This window comes from Homo sapiens, chromosome 1, assembly GCF_000001405.40.
Source record: "Homo sapiens chromosome 1, GRCh38.p14 Primary Assembly".
Lineage (NCBI taxonomy): Eukaryota > Metazoa > Chordata > Mammalia > Primates > Hominidae > Homo > Homo sapiens.
In genome coordinates, this window is record NC_000001.11 from 155,001,619 (window position 1) to 155,018,526 (window position 16,908).

General features: G+C 60.7%; 1 protein-coding gene across 23 annotated transcripts, besides 13 other annotated features; it reads left to right on the plus strand.

The window, feature by feature from the left end:
• Window positions 83-322: a silencer, noted in NCBI's record as "silent region_1377". NCBI's record gives its function as "represses an Ori minimal core promoter by ATAC-STARR-seq in GM12878 lymphoblastoid cells {active_cell/tissue: GM12878}" and the evidence as "EXISTENCE:reporter gene assay evidence [ECO:0000049][PMID:35858748]".
• On the plus strand, window positions 132-16,905 carry ZBTB7B (zinc finger and BTB domain containing 7B). Of its 23 annotated transcripts, none has more exons than NM_001377451.1 (6): window positions 1,031-1,051; window positions 1,225-1,325; window positions 8,640-8,779; window positions 9,298-9,397; window positions 13,037-14,196; window positions 14,602-16,905. In NM_001377451.1, the coding sequence occupies exons 4-6, from the start codon at window positions 9,302-9,304 to the stop codon at window positions 15,065-15,067; spliced, it is 1,722 nt and encodes a 573-aa protein (NP_001364380.1). In that variant the 5' UTR covers window positions 1,031-1,051; window positions 1,225-1,325; window positions 8,640-8,779; window positions 9,298-9,301; the 3' UTR covers window positions 15,068-16,905. The 23 variants fall into 23 exon arrangements, with proteins under 23 accessions (XP_047277807.1, NP_001364380.1, NP_001364383.1 ...); XM_047421853.1 differs by lacking the exons at window positions 1,031-1,051; window positions 1,225-1,325 and adding exons at window positions 6,976-7,146; window positions 7,330-7,368; XM_047421851.1 differs by lacking the exons at window positions 1,031-1,051; window positions 9,298-9,397 and adding an exon at window positions 132-585.
• Window positions 433-622: a silencer, noted in NCBI's record as "silent region_1378". NCBI's record gives its function as "represses an Ori minimal core promoter by ATAC-STARR-seq in GM12878 lymphoblastoid cells {active_cell/tissue: GM12878}" and the evidence as "EXISTENCE:reporter gene assay evidence [ECO:0000049][PMID:35858748]".
• Window positions 2,333-2,452: a silencer, noted in NCBI's record as "silent region_1379". NCBI's record gives its function as "represses an Ori minimal core promoter by ATAC-STARR-seq in GM12878 lymphoblastoid cells {active_cell/tissue: GM12878}" and the evidence as "EXISTENCE:reporter gene assay evidence [ECO:0000049][PMID:35858748]".
• Window positions 3,156-3,828: an enhancer, noted in NCBI's record as "H3K27ac-H3K4me1 hESC enhancer chr1:154977250-154977922 (GRCh37/hg19 assembly coordinates)". NCBI's record gives its function as "activates a minimal SCP1, AML or CMV promoter by ChIP-STARR-seq in primed H9 embryonic stem cells {active_cell/tissue: H9 hESC(primed)}" and the evidence as "EXISTENCE:reporter gene assay evidence [ECO:0000049][PMID:30033119]".
• Window positions 3,503-3,552: a silencer, noted in NCBI's record as "silent region_1380". NCBI's record gives its function as "represses an Ori minimal core promoter by ATAC-STARR-seq in GM12878 lymphoblastoid cells {active_cell/tissue: GM12878}" and the evidence as "EXISTENCE:reporter gene assay evidence [ECO:0000049][PMID:35858748]".
• Window positions 3,613-3,662: a silencer, noted in NCBI's record as "silent region_1381". NCBI's record gives its function as "represses an Ori minimal core promoter by ATAC-STARR-seq in GM12878 lymphoblastoid cells {active_cell/tissue: GM12878}" and the evidence as "EXISTENCE:reporter gene assay evidence [ECO:0000049][PMID:35858748]".
• Window positions 6,072-6,786: an enhancer, noted in NCBI's record as "H3K27ac-H3K4me1 hESC enhancer chr1:154980166-154980880 (GRCh37/hg19 assembly coordinates)". NCBI's record gives its function as "activates a minimal SCP1, AML or CMV promoter by ChIP-STARR-seq in naive H9 embryonic stem cells {active_cell/tissue: H9 hESC(naive)}" and the evidence as "EXISTENCE:reporter gene assay evidence [ECO:0000049][PMID:30033119]".
• Window positions 8,288-9,037: an enhancer, noted in NCBI's record as "H3K4me1 hESC enhancer chr1:154982382-154983131 (GRCh37/hg19 assembly coordinates)". NCBI's record gives its function as "activates a minimal SCP1, AML or CMV promoter by ChIP-STARR-seq in primed H9 embryonic stem cells {active_cell/tissue: H9 hESC(primed)}" and the evidence as "EXISTENCE:reporter gene assay evidence [ECO:0000049][PMID:30033119]".
• Window positions 10,537-11,284: an enhancer, noted in NCBI's record as "H3K4me1 hESC enhancer chr1:154984631-154985378 (GRCh37/hg19 assembly coordinates)". NCBI's record gives its function as "activates a minimal SCP1, AML or CMV promoter by ChIP-STARR-seq in primed H9 embryonic stem cells {active_cell/tissue: H9 hESC(primed)}" and the evidence as "EXISTENCE:reporter gene assay evidence [ECO:0000049][PMID:30033119]".
• Window positions 15,657-15,801: an enhancer, noted in NCBI's record as "145 bp 1:154989823 sequence used in MPRA reporter constructs". NCBI's record gives its function as "activates a minimal TATA-containing promoter with 1:154989823 allelic activity by MPRAs in C283T melanocytes and UACC903 melanoma cells {active_cell/tissue: C283T | UACC903}" and the evidence as "EXISTENCE:reporter gene assay evidence [ECO:0000049][PMID:36423637]".
• Window positions 15,657-16,167: a biological region, named in NCBI's record as "melanoma risk locus-associated MPRA allelic enhancer 1:154989823".
• Window positions 15,698-16,167: a silencer, noted in NCBI's record as "silent region_1382". NCBI's record gives its function as "represses an Ori minimal core promoter by ATAC-STARR-seq in GM12878 lymphoblastoid cells {active_cell/tissue: GM12878}" and the evidence as "EXISTENCE:reporter gene assay evidence [ECO:0000049][PMID:35858748]".
• Window position 15,729: a transcriptional cis regulatory region, noted in NCBI's record as "1:154989823 MPRA-significant variant associated with a GWAS melanoma risk locus at 1q21.3". NCBI's record gives its function as "allelic transcriptional activity by MPRAs in C283T melanocytes and UACC903 melanoma cells {active_cell/tissue: C283T | UACC903}" and the evidence as "EXISTENCE:reporter gene assay evidence [ECO:0000049][PMID:36423637]".
• Window positions 16,906-16,908: the final 3 nt, after the last annotated feature.

A 16,908-nucleotide genomic window follows, 5' to 3' on the forward strand; every position in this document is an offset into this window, starting at 1 on the left:
TCAGTTTCTCCACTTAGGGAACCCGCGGGATGGAGGTGGGGAGCAAAAGCGTCGGCGCGCCCCCTCCCCCTTCGCAGACTGGGCCCCTCCCCTCCGACAATGCCAAGGCCGCAGCGGGCACTGGCGACAGCACAGAGGCTGCTTGCCTGGGGCGCCCTTCCCTCCCCGCGGGGCACCGTCACGCGTGGGGAGGGACGCAGGGCGCCCGCAGGCTCAACTCCCCGGCTCCCTCCGAGAGGGGGTGGGGCGTAGGGGCCGGAGCCGAAGGCCTGGTGGCTCCCCCTCCCCCTCCCTTCTAGGTCCCTGACCTGATTACAGCCCCTCACGGGACCCCCTCCCTCAAGACCCTAAGTCCCCAATTCACCCCCACCCAGCCTATCCCTAACCTCTCATACCCTTCCCTCCTGAGGTCCTGACCCTACAGAAGCCCCTCTTGAAGGAGAGGGAGCCCCTGTAGGGGGTGCTCGATTCCCTGGCCGCTGCGGACACTGCCCCCTCCCCCCTCCTCTCCAGGTTCCAGGCCAGCCCCTCGGCTCCGCCCCCTCCCTGGACGAACGCAAGGCGAGACCTACTGGAGATGAGCGGGTATTCAGGCCAATGAGCGGACAGGGCGGTGGCGTGCAGGGGGCGGGCAGAGCAGCAGCAAAGGGCTGGATGGGGGCCGGGGGCGGAGTTTGAGTTAAGGTGGACTGGGAGAGATAGGGGCAGGAGAAAGGGGGGGGAGAGAGGGACCGCGGCAGGTGAAGGGAGACAGAGAGAAGGAAAGAAGGAGGGAAAGGAGGAGGGTGGGAAAGGCTAGGAGAGCTAAGTAAGAGTTTGGAGAAGGGGGCAAAAAAGGAGGGAGGGACCCATCTGCGCTCTGCAGGGACTGGCTGGACGAAGGGGTTGAAGTTTATGTCCTTATTGGGCGGAGGGAGGGGGCCTGGGGGGGCGGGTGAAAAACCAGGAAGTGACAGAGGGTGTTTCTAAGTGTTGGGGGGGGGGAGTTTGGGGGGTGGCAGGGGCGGGGGGAGGGAGGGGAGGGATGGGGGGAAAGCAAGCTGGAGGACAGGTGAGACAGCAGGACAGGTGAGGCGGGCCCTGAGGGGGGGGCGGGTGGGAGCCAGGTGAATGTACGGCTCTTGGCGGCCGAGGGGGGGCGGGCGGCAGGAGGAGGCAGAGGGCGGCGGAGGAGGAGCCCCCCAGCAGCGAGCGGCGAGCAACTGACCGCGGCCTTCTGACCAGGACCGGAGCAGGGCCCCAAGCCCCCGGGCCTGGTGGGGGACGCGCTTCTTCCCACACTGTGAGCCTCAGCAGCTCCAGCCAGCGGACCCGACGGCTGAGAGGTGAGTGTACCCCACTTTTGTCTCCTGGCTCGGGGTTCACTAGGCTCGAGACTACTGCAGTGTCCTTCGTCCGTCCTGTAAGTGGGACCCCCAGATACACACGCATGCAGATCACATTCCCACCACTCCCCTTCCCTGTGCTTTCCCAACACCCCGGGTCTCTGGAATTGGTTTTAACTGAGATGAAAGACAGAGAAGGAACTGCGGATGCCCCCCAACCCTAGGCGGAGGGTCCCCAGAAAGTTTATCTGCACTTCTCCTGGGATCAGACAGACAGACGGCTTCGGGATGGAGAGGGGGTGAGGCGACGCTGAGCGTTCCCCCAGTCTCCTTCGTGACTTTAGGGGGAGACCCCAGACCGGACTGAGTTGAGGGAATGGAAACGCTGACGGACTCTAACTAGGACAACGCGCACCCCCCCCCCACCCCGCGCCCCCTGGCGCGGTGGATTGGCCCCAGGCCAGTTGCATGGGGGTTGGGGGGGCGCAGGAGGAGCCGCGGCTTGGGGGAAAGTTACCGGCTGGACTATTCGGTTTCTTGCGCTTCCAGAGCCGCGCTCTCTCCAGCGGTAGTGGGGCTCAGCAACAACCTCTGAACCGACATAGAACGACCGCTCTCTTCCCTGCCCCTCAATCCCACTCCCTTCCTTCAGGCTCCAGTCCCGCCGCTACCTTTTCCACGCCAGCTCATGACCACAGAACCCAAGAGCGAGGGCGGGTGACTAGGAAGAATTCTCCTACCTACTACCCGTCCCCCCACCGGCGCCGGCGCACCTGCCCCAGCCCAGAGTGGGGGTCGCTACTGTGTTGTTGTAGAACCTACAGAGTGCGCCTGGCAGAAGGCTGCCATTCAAAGGGGTGGGGGGCGCTGCTTTCAATTTCCAGCTTTCTCTCCCTCCTCCCACCCCATCCCAAGTAAGAGAGCGACGTGTCCCGGCCAGAGCGAGGTGGGGGCGGGAGTGGGGGGGCGGCGTGGGCAGCGGGTTGTGCCCGGACACGTGCCTGCCCAGGCGCCCCGGCCCTGCTGGTGTTTAGAGAGAGGGCGGGTCCCCTGCCCCCCGCCCCGCACAACCCCCACGTATCAAAGGGCGGCTGAGACATGGTGAGACCTCGGGGCGCCCTGGGGGGCAGGGGGGCGGGGAGCCTGGGTCCGGAGCAGGGGAGGGGCAGAGGCGCCGGTGCTAGCTGACCCACAGGAAACGAGCGCTGCTGACCTAGTTTGGGACACCGGAAGTGGGTGCTGGGGAGAGGGGGAGACCGGCAGGCTGTCCAGGCTTCCGGGCCAGGTGGAGGGTGTTCTTGAATTGACCCCCGCCCGAATGCCTTGGAGACCCCTAGCTGCAGCCGAGAATGGGAATGAGTCAGCGCAGCTATTCCCCCTTCCCCCAACTTATTCCTGGAGGAGGGAGACCGCTTATCAGGGACGGGGGAACCAGATTGGGCTGTGAGGGGTTAAAGCAGGATGGGAACTGTCTGGTCCCTAAGGGAGTATGTGTGAGTGTGGGGATGAGGCCTGGAGGATTATGGGGTTGCCTCCTGCTGCCCCACACACACCAACTGGTTTGGTCACCCCTGTACCCGCCTGGCACTGCTGGGAGAGCTGGCATGGAGTGGACATCAGGTTGGGGAGGAGAGAGTGGGCATAAGGAGTGTTGTGCTGCGCTAGAGAGGGACATATGTGTGACTATGTCTGGATGATAGTTAGTGTTCCTCCTTAGTGGTAACTGGGGAGAAGGGTAGGGGGCTCCCCCTGGAGCAGCTGATGAAACAAGGAGAAATCTCTGTCAGTGCCTCTGTCCCTGGCCCCAGGGACCCCAGCTCCCCCAGCGTGCCTCTGTTACATGGTTGCTGTGGGCACAACACAACCTGCTGGCACCCCCAGACACTGTCCCCTCCCTTGGGTACCACACACCCCCAGCCCTGGCACAGGGGTCAAAAAGGGGTTAATACCACCAGAATGGGGCTCTGGGGAAGAAAGAAGGCAGTGCCCACTAGGCTCAGGTGTCAAGGAGACAGGCTTGCTCTAATGGGACTCTCATCACTACTCAGTTCTGGCTGATGTAGACCCCAGTGTCTGGAAGACAGGTGCTGTCCCCTTCTTCTTCCCCATGGTGCCCCCTGGCACCCAGGGCCCCCAGCTCCTCCTTGGCCTAGTGCCTGCCCAGGGAGGGTGCGGCGGGCAGCGGGGGCTGGGCTAACAATGCACCATCAGGCCCTTTGTGTGCCTGCACTTGGCACCCTGGGGAAGGGTGGGGGAGGGGGCCCAGCAGGCATGGGGGGCGGAGCGCTCTGGGGTGGGGACAGTGAAGGCTGGGGGAGAGAAGCAAATGAAAGCAGGTGGGGAGGAAAGGGAAGTAGGTCAGATAGGGTGCCAGCCCCCCATTCCAAGCCAAGGCTGAGAGAACCAGCCCCTGATCCTATGGCTGCCTGGATGGCATCAGACTGAGGGACAGCCTAGGACTGGGCATTTGGGGTCAGAAGTCACTGCCCAGGGGACTGCTCAGATGGAGAAGGTTTGGCCTGGTACTGCCCCCTTCTTAATGGCTGAGAGACCCAATTCTTCTGGCCCAAGACCAAGGCCCCAAGATGAGTAGTGAATGGGCTCCAGGCAGGGCACTGCCCTCTGACAGAAGCCTCTGGGCCTGCTGCGGGGCTTCCTGCCTCTGCCCCGCTTGGCTCCCTGACCTTCCTGAGAGTTAAGACTGCCCTGACACCAGGCCTTAGGGCCTATGCCTGTTTTGGCCTAGGGCGGGAGAGAACAGTGGGGGAGGAAGGTGGGGACAGGCAGATGGATAGGACCCTGGCATGGGGTGTGCCCGCCCTGGCCTCTTCCCCCTCCTTGTGCTGAGTAAACTCGTGAGTAAACTTGACGTTTTGCCCGGACAGTTTGAAGTTGCCTCGCTGCCCCCTCCCCCCCACTCTTGCCAACACAGAAGCGGCCAGGCGCCAAGGCGGGCCCGGGGGACTGGGAGGAAGGGGATAGAGCTGCTGTCATCCACCATCAAGTGTTTGGTGGGGTGGGGACAAGAAAGACCCCCACACCCAGCCAGGCCTAGGTCTTGGCAAGAGTCTTGGCTGGGGCCTGCCAGCATCTGTCCCAGAGCCCTGGGGAGCCCAGGAAAAGTGGCTTCAAAGCAGGTCCTCTGCCCACTTCTGACTTCCACCTCTACTAGGGAAAGGCACCCAGCTACCACCTGGCCCCCTGAGTTGCCATCTTTAATATTCACTGGCACAGGGACAAAGCTACCTTTAACAAATTCCCCAGGGAGACCAGAGAGGGCTGCCCTCTTCATCCTGTCCCATAGTTTGGGATGGACATCTTAGCCCTCTCTTCCCTGAGGCCTCCAGATGCCATGGTTCTGCTATGGAGGATAGCATTCTCATTTGCCAGCACTTGCCCTGACCACACCTGGGCCTAACCCCACATATACCTCTACCATATTCACCATCAGGCCTAGCCCTGATCTCCCCAAACCCCTTCCTTTGCCTGCTATCTTCCCCAGAACCAGGTCAGCCTTCAGAGCTTCCCAGTCAGCAAATACCTGTGCCAGATTCAGGGGTCGAAGGTGCCCCAGGCAAAAGAGGGCTGATGGCAGGCAAATGAAACAGTGATCCCCCATAAATATGTCAATTTGCTATCTTTTGACATCACTGATCCTCTTCTTCCTCCCAGGCCAACAGAATGACATGGGGAAATGCCATCCCAGTCCCTGACAGGCCTCAGAGTGGGGCTCCCCCAGGCCCTTACTTTCGACCTCATGTCTCTGGCTTCAGTTTCCTTCCTGTTTCCACCGTCCCCCCAACTCCTCCCCACCCATATGCCCCTTTCAACAGACATCCTCTCCTCCTTCCTTCCTCCTTTCCTCCCCCTTTGCCTGGGAGCAGGGGTCCTCTTTCCTCCACCATGGACATCCTAGCCTTTTACCTCTTCTTAAACCTAGCCCCCTTGGAGATTCATGACCAAGTCATCTGCCCTTCTCACCCATCAGCAAGGCTCTGGGGAAGAGGAGAACCCAGAGCTTCTCAAGGGGGACTACAACTCCCAAGGTACATACAAAGCAATTGTGGTGCACACTGGGAGTTGTAGTCCTTGAGCTCTCAATTTGGCTGAGTCTGGAAGTGTTTCTGGATGAAGGTGAAAGTCAGAACTGGGATGGGTTGGAATGTGGGTACCCTCTGCATCCCCCCACTTTATTCTTGCTATCGCATTGCCATGGGATGCTGTGTACCTATGATTGACATCCATCTCCCTTGCTGAGACATGCTACCTGTCCTCACCTTAGGGCCCCACCCAAAAGATGCCCACACCCTGCCCTGCTGCCCCTGGCAGGGGTGAAACAGAGGGGCCCCATGAACTCCCTCCCTGCCCCCTGCCCTCTAGGCTGGTTCCCTCCCTTTATGGGGATCAAAGGGCAGAGAGCAGCCCCACCCCACTCCCTTGCAGGCTGCAGGCACTAGGGCTCTCAGGAATTGCAGGGACTTTGGTGCCCAAGCAAATGCTTGGGCAGGGGGAATGCCGGGAGGTTGGCACCTGGTGGTAGGGAGAGACACTGGCCCCCACCCTGGGGTGTGGAGCCTTCATTAACTACTCACAGGGCTGTCCATTGCCTCCTAGGCTCTCTCTGTGTAGGCCCTGACCAGTGTGCTACCTCTTGAGGAGGTGGTTTGAGAACAGGGTCTTAGGCCTTATCTGTAAGGCCTAGGGGCCTGGGCCCGTCTGGCTGGCACCAAGGCACAGGGTGACCCTCCCCCACCTCAGGCCCACAGTTGGCATGGGGCGCTGGGAGCAGGGGGGTAGGAGGGAGAGGAGGGCAGGACTGCCAGCATCCTGGTGGGTAGGTGCCAACCGGGCCGGGAGCTGGTGAGGGGCAGCAGGCCAGCGGCATTGAGCCAGCAGCTGTTGGGGGAAAGGGGAGGGGATATTTTAGGGGGCATTTCTATGGTACCCCCAAGCCTAGCAGGATTTGGGATGGCCTAGTGTCTGGGGGTCACTAGGGCACCCCTCATTCCAGGAATAAGGGACCCCAGGAGTTGTTTAAGTGAAATTTGGTGGCCCATCCATGTCTGGGCTCAGAGCTCTCCTGAGTTGCCCCTCAGGCCCAGGCGGGTCCCACCCAACCGGCCAGGGTGGCAGCAGCTTGCGCAAGGGGTGGGGCTAGGCGCTTCCCAGCAGATGCCCCCTCCCAGCTCCTTCCTCTTTCGGTGCCCACAGCTCCCCCAATCTGTCTATCCCCCTCAGGCCAGCTCTGTTCCCCCTGATCCCCCTGGCTATTGGGGGCTGGCATGAGTGCTGCCCCCTGGCCTGGTTGGCAGGGGTTGGCACCCGGGCAAGGAACTGTGGTATGTGAGTGGGTTTGGGGTGAGGCTATGGGGAGGGCGGGGTGCCGCCTTGCCCAGCCCCTGAGGGCCCCAGCCCAGTACAGGGTAGGGAGAATTCGGCCAGCTCCCAGGGGGACTGAGGAGCTTGCTGGGGTCTAGAGGGCTTCCTTGTGGTCCCCATCCCACATACTCTGAGGGGCTGGGACCCAGGCACCTGTCACCCCTGGCACTGACTGTCCAGGGTTCCCCTCCTCCCTCTTCTAGCCACAGCTGCCTCCGTCCCCTCCCCTCCCTTCTTCCTTCTCCTGGTCCCACCTCCAGTAGCCTCTCCCATTGCTCCTCCTCATCTCTGTCCTCCTGGACTGTCCCAGCTCCTACCTTTCCTACCCCTCACCTTTTTCCTCTTTTAGGACTGAGTAAGGACAGGAGTGGGTGGGTTCTGCTGGGGCTTCAGGCACCACAGGCAGAGACTCTGGGCCCTCTCCCACGCCGCCAGCCCTCCGGTAACCCCTCCCTCCAAGCTGGGGGGAGGGGGGACAGCACCCAGAGGGTTAAGGCTGTAGGGGGGAGGGGCTGGGCCAGGTCGTGGGCGGCCCCTTTGAAGGAGGGAGCTGGAGCGGGGAACAGCCACCCTACCTCCCCCCAAGCCTGGCCCTCCCCCACCTGTCCCAACCTGCTGCCCCCAGGGGCCAGGAGGAGTTGCCGCCAGGCCCCTCAGCGTTCAGGTGAGTAGGCCCTGCTCTGGCTTGGGAGATCAGGCCCCAGGGGGGCTTGGAGGCCTAGAATTAGCCAAGGGTCAGAGGACTGAAAAACAGGTCAGGAAGAGGGTGCCCAGACTTCACAAGAGAGTTTAGGGAACTGAGGGCTTGAGAAGCGGGAATGTGGGGAGGCCTCAGTGTTTAAGGGGACCCGAGCAGATCAGGAGAGGCAGAAGAGGGGCCTATAGGGACTGAGTGATTGCTGGGCCAGGCCAGGAGGCTGGACAGGCTGGCAGAGAGCCGGGCTCCGGAGATCGGGCTGGGGTGTCCTCTGGGGCTGGGGGGCTCAGGTTTCTGCTGGCGGCTTGGCGGGTGTGGGGTTACCAGCCAGCTCGGTTACCCAGCCGGAGACACTAGGCTGGGGGGGAGGGGGTGGGCACAGGGCAGACCCTGGCACCTTGTGCGGTCTCCTCAGGCCCTAAGGGGAGCTGGCACTGTCCAGGCAGACCCTGCTGAGAATCCTGATGGCCAGAGTCTGTCCAAGTGGACAATTGCCTGGTCCAGGGTGGGCACCCTCCGGGGAAAGTCCAGCAGCTCCAGGGCTGGAAACTCTGACGGGCAGAGAGGCACAGGTTGTCCCCCCACCCCCACCCCACATCCGCTCTCGCTGCAAACCCCCCTCCACCACTCATTCTCCCCAACTGGCTCCCAAATTGTGGTCCCCTGCTTCATCCAAAAGTGGGGTGTGGGTGCCCTAAACTCAACCATCTTTTGGCAAGACCAGGCATTGGAAGGCAGGCCTGGTCCCTGATTTAATTCCTCTGCGGCTCTCCACCCCTCATATGCCTGGGAAGAAGGGAATGGATGGTTGGAGCAGGGGGCCAATGGAGAAAGTGGAGAAGTTTGAGCAAGAGAGAACCAAGGGGAAGAGAAAGGAGAGGCAGGGACAGTTCCTGGGAGGAGGCCTAGGGACACTGATGGGGTGGAGAGGATGCGGAGTTCAGGGAGGGCTGAAGGAAGGAAAGCAAAGGGTGGACTTGTGGAGGGAAGACAAGGGTCGGAGGAGGCAATGAGGGGACAGAACCAGGAGGCCAAGAGAGGGGCAAGAGTGAGGGCTGGATGATGGCAGGGAATACCCAAAGGTGGCGGCGCTAAGGCTGAGAGAGTTGCCCCCATTCCTTCCTCCGCCATCTTTTATCTTCCTCATATTTCCCTTGATGGGGACTAAGGGGCTATGGGCAAGGGCTGGTGTCATGGAAAGAAAATGTAGGGAAGCATTAAGGTCTCCCTCATTTCAGGAGCCCCAGAACCAGGACTGGGGGATTTGGAGCTGGGCAGAGACTTAACCCCCACAGCACCGGGAAGCAGCCAACTCCCCTCGCCTCCTTCCCCCTTCGTGGCTTGCGGTCTCTCTTCCCCGCCTCGGCCCCCAGGAAGTGTGAGTGCTGGGGGTGGTGAGGTTAGGAGGGGGAAGCGTCATATGGGGGATGGGGAAGGCATGCACAAGCTTGGAGGGGCTGGGGTGGGGAGAGAAGGGCTCCATAAATGTCAGAGCATCCCTGGGCAGAGAACCTCTTCTTTGAAGCCCTTCTAGTCCTCATGTGAGAAGAGGCTCAGCCCCTTTACCTTCCCTCCCCAACTGGGCAATCCAGATGGCTGCAGCTCCTGGGCCCCAGAGGCCCTGGGAAGCGGTGGGGGAAGCTGGAGAACAAGGATTCCTGGGTCCCTTAGGACTTTGGACTGGCTGTCCAATTTCCCCACCCCCCTGGTCCAGACGCAGGCCAAAGCCATGGCTTCGTGCAAACTTAGCTCCAAAAAAACAGGAAGAGAACCTGAGGCTGGAGTTGGGGTGGGGGGGTGGAGGGAGAAAGGAGACAGAAGTAAGGGGGAGGGGTGGCCAGCCAAGGCACCAGGAGCGTTGGGAAGAGCCTCAGGTCTCTCCATCATCCCTGGCAGGAAGATGTTACAGCCTGGTCCTCATCCTCCCTCACCCCAAGCTGCTGCTCCTGGAGAAGCCTGGCCAGGCCCCTCTCAGGCTCCCTGGCAGAGCCTAGAGGTAGGGGCCTTGGAACCTGGGGAGGGGGGGCTCTGCGTGCCTGTGTCCCAGGCCCATATCTATTTTCTCTGCTGCTAATCCTGGTTCCGCCTGCTGCCCCCCACACTAAGCCTCACTCCCCTAATCCCCAGGGTGGGGGAAAGGGGGGTCAGCTTTACTCAGCTGCCCTGTTCAGGGCCTGCTATCCCTGCCCTTCGGCTGGCTCAAGCCAGCAGTGTTGGCCTTCGTGGCCCCCAGCCCTGCACTGGACCCTGCCTGAGGTCAGCACCCGGAAAGAGTTCCCATCTCCCTTTTCTTTCCAAGACCAGGCCAGTGGCCTCCACCTTTTGGTTTCTTGGTGCTGGACATACCCTGCCAGGTGCCCTTGAGCACTGAAGGGTAGGTGATAGGCACTCCCACCTTTACCCCCTCCCAACTTTCTCACCCTGAAGTCTTCCCCCAACCAAGGACAGGGCAGGCTTGACTCAGGGCCCAGTTTCAAGAGAGCTGCCCACCGGCTTGGCCGGTCTAGCAGGCCTGACAGTGAGGGGAGCCTGGGGGGGTGGCGGGAAAGAGGGGAGTGATGGGGTGGGGCCCCCAGTTCTTCCCCCTACCAGGCAAACAGACCAAACAGACCTTGCCCGGTTCCCTGGCACAGCTGCACCCCCAACCACCACACACACCCATGCCCACAAGGTCTTAGCAAGAGGGGGCATGCCAGATTGGGTGGGGATGGGCCGCCTTCATGGGGCGTCAGGGGACTGGGCCCTCTGGGATGCAGAGGTGGGAAAGGTGCCCAAGGTAGGGTGGGCACCCTGGCACCAGTGCCCTGCCCTGGCAGAAAGAAGGGGGAGGCCTTTGCCCCACCCATCCCTCCCAGATGATGGGTCTAGGAGGGCCCCTTGGCCTGGTTGGCACCACCATAGCTCCAGGTGGCACCTATATTGGCATGGGTGTTAGAGCCCTGGGTAAGGGTTAGGGGAGTTTCCCAGAAGCTAGAGAAGCTTATGAACACCCTCTCCTTCCCACACATGTCCTCTGCCTCTCCCCCTCTTTCATTGCTACCTCTTGGCCATGGGCATTGGATTTGGGCCTAAGGAGTTAAACACCCACCCTTGCCCAATCCCTGTGTGAGTTGCGTGGTGAACGAGCCTGAGCCTGTGACCTGACAGTGAGGTCAGCCAATCAGCGCCCCCACCACACCAAGTTGCCACGGAGACCGGCCCTGGGGTGGGAGAAAGGAGGCGGGTTTAGCAGCGGGAATGGGTGGGGTGGGCAGGGAAGGAGGGAGAGGGATGGGGTGAGCCACGTGCCTGCCAGTGCCCAGCTCCCAGCCAATGGACAGCGAGGACAGCCCCACCCATCCCCCTTAGGAGGGACAGGATCCACTTGGGCCCAGGAGGGTGCCTACTGCTGCTTAAGTAGCTGCAGCCACTGTTGCTGCTGCTCCTCCTGCTGCTGCTGCTGCCCACCTGGTTTTTGTTTGTTCCCAAGTCTGGGGGCCATTTGCCACTTGTACCATTTGTAAAGTACAGGCAGGAGGATTAAAGGGAGCAGGGAGAGCTCCCAGATGGCTTGGTTCCTAGGGAGAGAAGTGGTTTGCGGACTTACGGTGGGAACAGGTGAGCTATCTAAGGGTGCCTAGAGGTGGCTTACAAGCAAAGAAGGACATGCGGGTGCTGCTCACCCAAGGTTTCTGTGCAGGAGCCCTGGCCTTGCAATGAAGAGGGCAGGCAGGGAGGCAGACACAGAGAATGCACTTCTTGTGTCCTAAAGAGGAAATTTGTGGCTTGACTCCCCCATTCACCCCCCCACCCAAAAAAAAAAAAAACCTTTCCCCATCAATGGCCAGGTCTGAACAGCTGCTGGAGTGGCAGAGGGGACACTGACAAAATGTCAGTGGGACTTGCCTTAGGGATCATCTGGGCCAGTCTTTAATATTACATATGAGGAACAGGCTTCCTCAGGAAAGGAAGTGACTTGTCCAAAGTCATGTAGCTAGTAGTAGCTTGGTTCCCTCAGGGTGATTTGAGGGAGGGAGGCAGACCTGTCCCCAAGTAGTTTTCTTAACAGAGGCCATCTGTATAGTGGAATCTGACCCCAGGCTAGGCCAAGGCCAGAACATTTATCGAATCCCTACTGCATATCAGGCATTGTGCCATATTTGGTCTCATTTAACCCTCACCACAACCCTAGGAGTCAGGTGGAATTATCCTATGTTACAGATGAGGAAGGCGGCTCAGAGATTAAATCACTTGTTTAAGGTCATGGAGCTAACTGGTGGCAGAGACAGGATTCAAACTCAAGCCTGGCTGACTCCAGAGCCCAGTTCTTTCCAAGCCCCAGCACTGTCTCCAGTTGCTCCAGACCCACAAAATGTCAGGGCTGAAGGTCTGAGCCATTGGGGCCACTACTTCCACCCCCTCCTTGCACAGCTGAGGAAATGGAAGCACAGAGAGAAATGACTTTCCCAAGGTCATTCAGCAAGACAGTAGCAGAGCCAGGATTTAAAGCAGGTCTCACCCCCTTCCAGGCCCCAACCCCTGCCGACACCTCTGCCAGCCTTGGTGCTCTGCACCCACCTCCTGGCTGCTCTGCACCCACCTCCTGTGGCTGGGCCTTGGAGGGTAAAGGATAGAGAGCAGGACCAAGGCCTTCTGGAGACGGGGCTCTCCTGGAATAGGGAGGGAGGGGTGGCAGTAGCTGAGGGGGAGGTGGGGGGTGGGACTGGAACTTGGCCTATTGGCAGTGGGGGAGGGGGCGGGGGCGATGCTTATCTGTGCGGGGCAGGAAGCACCCGCGCCAGCCAGTGACACCCCAGCAAAGGGTGGCTGCTCCTTGGCCCCATGGGGGAGGGGAGGATGTGGGGGGAGGGATGCTGGGAGCTGTGTTTCCCGTTTGGCCTGGAGAAGTGGGGGATCTAGAAGGGGAGATGAACTTTTGGTAGCCAGGGGAGGGGCAAGAGGAGGAAGAGGATGATGCTTGGAAGCTGCCTTCTCTTGTTTGCATATGTTTTACAGTGTCCTAACCGCTTTGGAGAGCGATAACTTGAGTTAAAGCACCTGTCTGTGCCTGGCCTCCAGCAGATCTTGGTCCAGTGTGAGTCTGAACTCTCTCATTGGCCTCTCCCCAGGTTATGAGGAGGTTCATTACAAAGACTGTTACCTCACTTTTCAAATGACTGAGGCCAGCTGCCAGTACCACCCCCGGTCCTTCAGCCAATTCTTTATGAAGCCTGAACCGGGACCCAGGCATCCTATCTCCCAGTCCACTGCTCCTTCCAAAGAGATGGGGAATGGGGCAGGTGACATAGATGGACCTCCATGAAAGGGCCAGAAAGGCAGGGCTCCTGCTGCCACAGAGGCAGAGTAGAATAGTATAGTGGTTAGGAACAAGGACCGGGCCCACTCCCTGAGTTTGAACACTGTTCTGCACTTAACTTGGAAAATCACTTCACCTGTCTGAACCTCAGTTTCCTTGTCTGTGAAACAGATGATGATCATACTTCAGAGGGTTCTGGAAGATGAAATGAGTGTAAAGTACTCAGAAGGGTGACTGGCATGCAGTCATCCCTCAATAAGTATTGGCTAAAGTTGGTCCTCTTTCCCCAGACCCCTGTGGGCTGAGCGCTCTTAATCTCCCCTCTACTTGACTCTGCAGGAGAAGATGGGGAGCCCCGAGGATGACCTGATTGGGATTCCATTCCCGGACCACAGCAGTGAGCTCCTGAGCTGCCTCAATGAGCAGCGCCAGCTGGGCCACCTATGTGACCTCACCATCCGGACGCAGGGCCTTGAATACCGCACCCACAGGGCTGTGCTAGCTGCCTGTAGCCACTACTTCAAGAAGCTTTTCACTGAGGGCGGTGGCGGAGCTGTCATGGGGGCCGGGGGTAGCGGGACGGCCACTGGGGGAGCAGGGGCCGGTGTGTGTGAGCTGGACTTTGTAGGGCCAGAGGCACTAGGCGCCCTCCTTGAATTTGCCTATACAGCCACACTGACCACCAGCAGCGCCAACATGCCAGCTGTGCTCCAGGCTGCCCGCCTGCTGGAGATCCCGTGTGTCATCGCTGCTTGCATGGAGATTCTGCAGGGCAGTGGGCTAGAAGCTCCCAGCCCGGACGAGGATGACTGTGAGCGAGCCCGCCAGTATCTGGAGGCCTTTGCCACAGCCACGGCCTCTGGAGTTCCCAATGGTGAAGACAGTCCTCCACAGGTGCCCCTCCCACCACCTCCGCCACCGCCACCTCGGCCTGTTGCCCGCCGCAGCCGCAAGCCCCGGAAAGCTTTCCTGCAAACCAAGGGGGCCAGAGCAAACCACCTAGTCCCTGAGGTGCCCACAGTGCCCGCCCATCCCTTGACCTATGAGGAGGAGGAGGTGGCGGGCAGAGTGGGCAGCAGTGGGGGCAGTGGGCCGGGGGACAGCTACAGCCCTCCCACAGGAACTGCCTCCCCTCCTGAGGGTCCCCAGAGCTACGAACCCTATGAGGGTGAGGAAGAAGAAGAGGAGCTGGTATATCCCCCAGCCTATGGGCTGGCGCAGGGTGGCGGGCCCCCGCTGTCCCCAGAGGAGCTGGGCTCAGATGAGGATGCCATCGATCCTGACCTGATGGCCTACCTAAGCTCCCTGCACCAGGACAACCTGGCACCAGGCCTGGACAGCCAAGACAAGCTGGTGCGCAAACGCCGCTCCCAGATGCCTCAGGAGTGCCCTGTCTGCCACAAGATCATCCATGGGGCAGGCAAACTGCCTCGCCACATGAGGACCCACACAGGCGAGAAGCCCTTTGCCTGCGAGGTCTGCGGTGTTCGATTCACCAGGTGAGCAGCAAGGGGGGAAGGGCCCGGCAGGGGCCATGGGTAGGGGACAGGGTGGGAGGAGATGGGGAAGAAGTTAGGAGACCCGAGGTGGTGGTAGGTGGTCCTGGAGGGACTGGGGCATGGGTGGGTTACTGGAGTGAGGAGAGCAGAAGAAAACAAGCCAGCAGGGGGTGGATCTGGAGCATGGAGGATTCGGTGCCCAGGAGGGCAGTGCTGGAAGCAGAGGAGTGGATAATGACAAGGCCTAGTTAAGCTAGAGGTGAGCTAGCAGGGTATCTCCTGGGGCAATAGTGGGGTAACAAATGGTGAGGAACAGGGATGGGACAAGGCCAGGGTGGGATGACCAGGAGGAGCCAGGGATCCCATCCTGAACACCTCCCTGCCCCTCACCCCTGCCTGTGCCAGGAACGACAAGCTGAAGATCCACATGCGGAAGCACACGGGAGAGCGCCCCTACTCATGCCCGCACTGCCCAGCCCGCTTCCTGCACAGCTACGACCTCAAGAACCACATGCACCTGCACACAGGGGACCGGCCCTATGAGTGCCACCTGTGCCACAAGGCTTTCGCCAAGGAGGACCACCTGCAGCGCCACCTCAAAGGCCAGAACTGCCTGGAGGTGCGCACCCGACGGCGCCGCAAGGACGATGCACCACCCCACTACCCACCACCCTCTACCGCTGCTGCATCCCCCGCTGGCCTCGACCTCTCCAATGGCCACCTGGACACCTTCCGCCTCTCTCTAGCTCGATTCTGGGAGCAGTCAGCCCCCACTGGGCCCCCGGTCTCTACCCCAGGGCCCCCTGATGACGATGAGGAGGAAGGGGCACCCACCACACCCCAGGCTGAAGGTGCCATGGAGTCCTCTTAAAGAGGGACGAGGGCCAGACTGAAGCAGCACAAGGCCGGGGACACCCATGCCAAGCAGTGGGAGCACGCAGGACAGACACAGCAGGGGTCTGGGGCACGGAGCCTTGCTGGCATCAGCATCAGCCCTTCCTCCCAGAGCCCTCATTCCAATTCCAAGCTAAGAAGGTATTGGGGCAGAGGCTCCCCAAATTGGGGTGATCCCCCAAGGAGTGATACATATATTGTGTATATATTTACAGCTGTATTGTAAAAGTGGGGTCCCTGTCCCCAGCTGCTCCTGGGGAGTAGAAGCAATAATGTATTTCTAATTTGTGGGTCCCACTTCGGCTATGCGGGTTTCTAGGGGGTGGGGGCTTGGGACCAAAGCCTTGCCCCGCCCCTATGCCCCTTGGGGGTTTTGGCTGTGTAAGGGGGTGAAGGACTGCCCCTCCCTTTCGAGACCCCTCCTTCCTGGTTTCTGTTCCTTTTTCCTGGCAGTGAATTATGCAAAGGGGGCCGGCAAAGGAAGGGTAGGTGGGGGAAAGCCAGGTGGAAGCTTGAAAGACTGGGGGACTGGGCCTGTAAGGAAGGAGCCATCCCAGTCCCCCTCCGCCCTGCTCCCGGCGCTGAGTCATGGGGTCGTGGAGAAGGGGGCGGGGTGGCCTGATTGGCTCGCCTGCCCCTGGGGGCAGTAGAGGGGCCCCGCCCAGCTAGGGGAGCCGCTCCGTTCCACTCCCCTCCCTAGCCCTCCCTCCCCACGGCCCTGGGCAGGGAATGTCTTGTTCCCGCCGCTCCCTCCCCGGGGCCAGAGGGCAGGGCGGGCCGGGCGGCGTCCTACCCTCTTCTCCTCCTCCCCATCTCCTCCCCGCCCAGGTGCGAGCCGGAGCCGCCGCCACCGCTGCCGCCCCTGACTCACGCCGCCCCCGGGCTGGCGCAGCGAAGGGTGTGGGACAGGGTAAGGGGTTGGAAGAGCCTTGTGGAGAGCGGGCGAGCCGGCGCCATCTGGCGGCCATGCTCTGAGTGGGCGAGCGCCCCCCGCGGCCACTGGAGCGAGCTGTCTTCACGCTCCTCATCCACCCCAGCTGGTGAGCGGCGCCCCCTTGCCAAGGCAGTGGGCACAGAACTTCTCGCTTGGCCGCAGGGGAAGGGGCTGCGGACCTGTGGGAAAGTGATCCCCTTCCCAGATCCTTGCCAGCCGGGCTTCCTGTCAGGCAGGGGAGAATAATCCCCACTCTGCTCTTAGGATTGAATCCACCCCCATTCTGTACATAGCCTCTTCTGTTGGTCTTGTTGAAATCTAGTTTCAGATTTTTAACTACCCAATTCTGCTGGGGGTGGGGGACACCCCCCCTTCCTCGCTGGGTGCTGGACCCCTTTTGCAGCCTGGGCTCTGCCTTGCACTATTTCCCCTTCCTGGCCTGACGGCTCCTCCCCCTCCTTAAAAGGGGCAGGTTCAGGGGCCCGGTGCTCTTCCTCCCTTCCATGCACCCCCATGCCCATTTGCACAGCTGCCCAGGTACCCCTAACAGTGGGGAGGGGTCACAGGGAGGGGGTAGCGGGACCAGTCCCTGTTATCTATTTAAAAAGTGATGATGTAATATATTGGGGTGGCGGGGAGATCGGGTTGTCCTGGGCCTCATCTTAGCATTTCAGGTGATGGGGGGAGCCCAGGGCTGGGGAGACCTGGGGCCCAGCCCCAGAAAGTGGGGACAATGTGGCCTCCCTTCTCCCTACTTTCGGCTTTCCCAGTCAGTGCCTTAGGGGGAGAGGCACTCCCCCCCTCCTATTCCCTTCCCCCCACCCCAACTCCCCCACCTCGGGTGTAAGCGACAGGAAGAAATAATAATAATTTAAGATTCACAC

Excerpts from the sequence above, each read along its gene's own strand:
- ZBTB7B (XM_017001399.2), top strand. The coding sequence starts at position 9,131 with ATGGCTTCGTGCAAACTTAGCTCCAAAAAAACAGGAAGAGAACCTGAG. Across the intron at positions 9,398-13,036 it reads CTCCCTGGCAGAGCCTAGAG|GAGAAGATGGGGAGCCCCGA; the intron begins GTAGGGGCCTTG and ends TTGACTCTGCAG. Across the intron at positions 14,197-14,601 it reads TGCGGTGTTCGATTCACCAG|GAACGACAAGCTGAAGATCC; the intron begins GTGAGCAGCAAG and ends TGCCTGTGCCAG.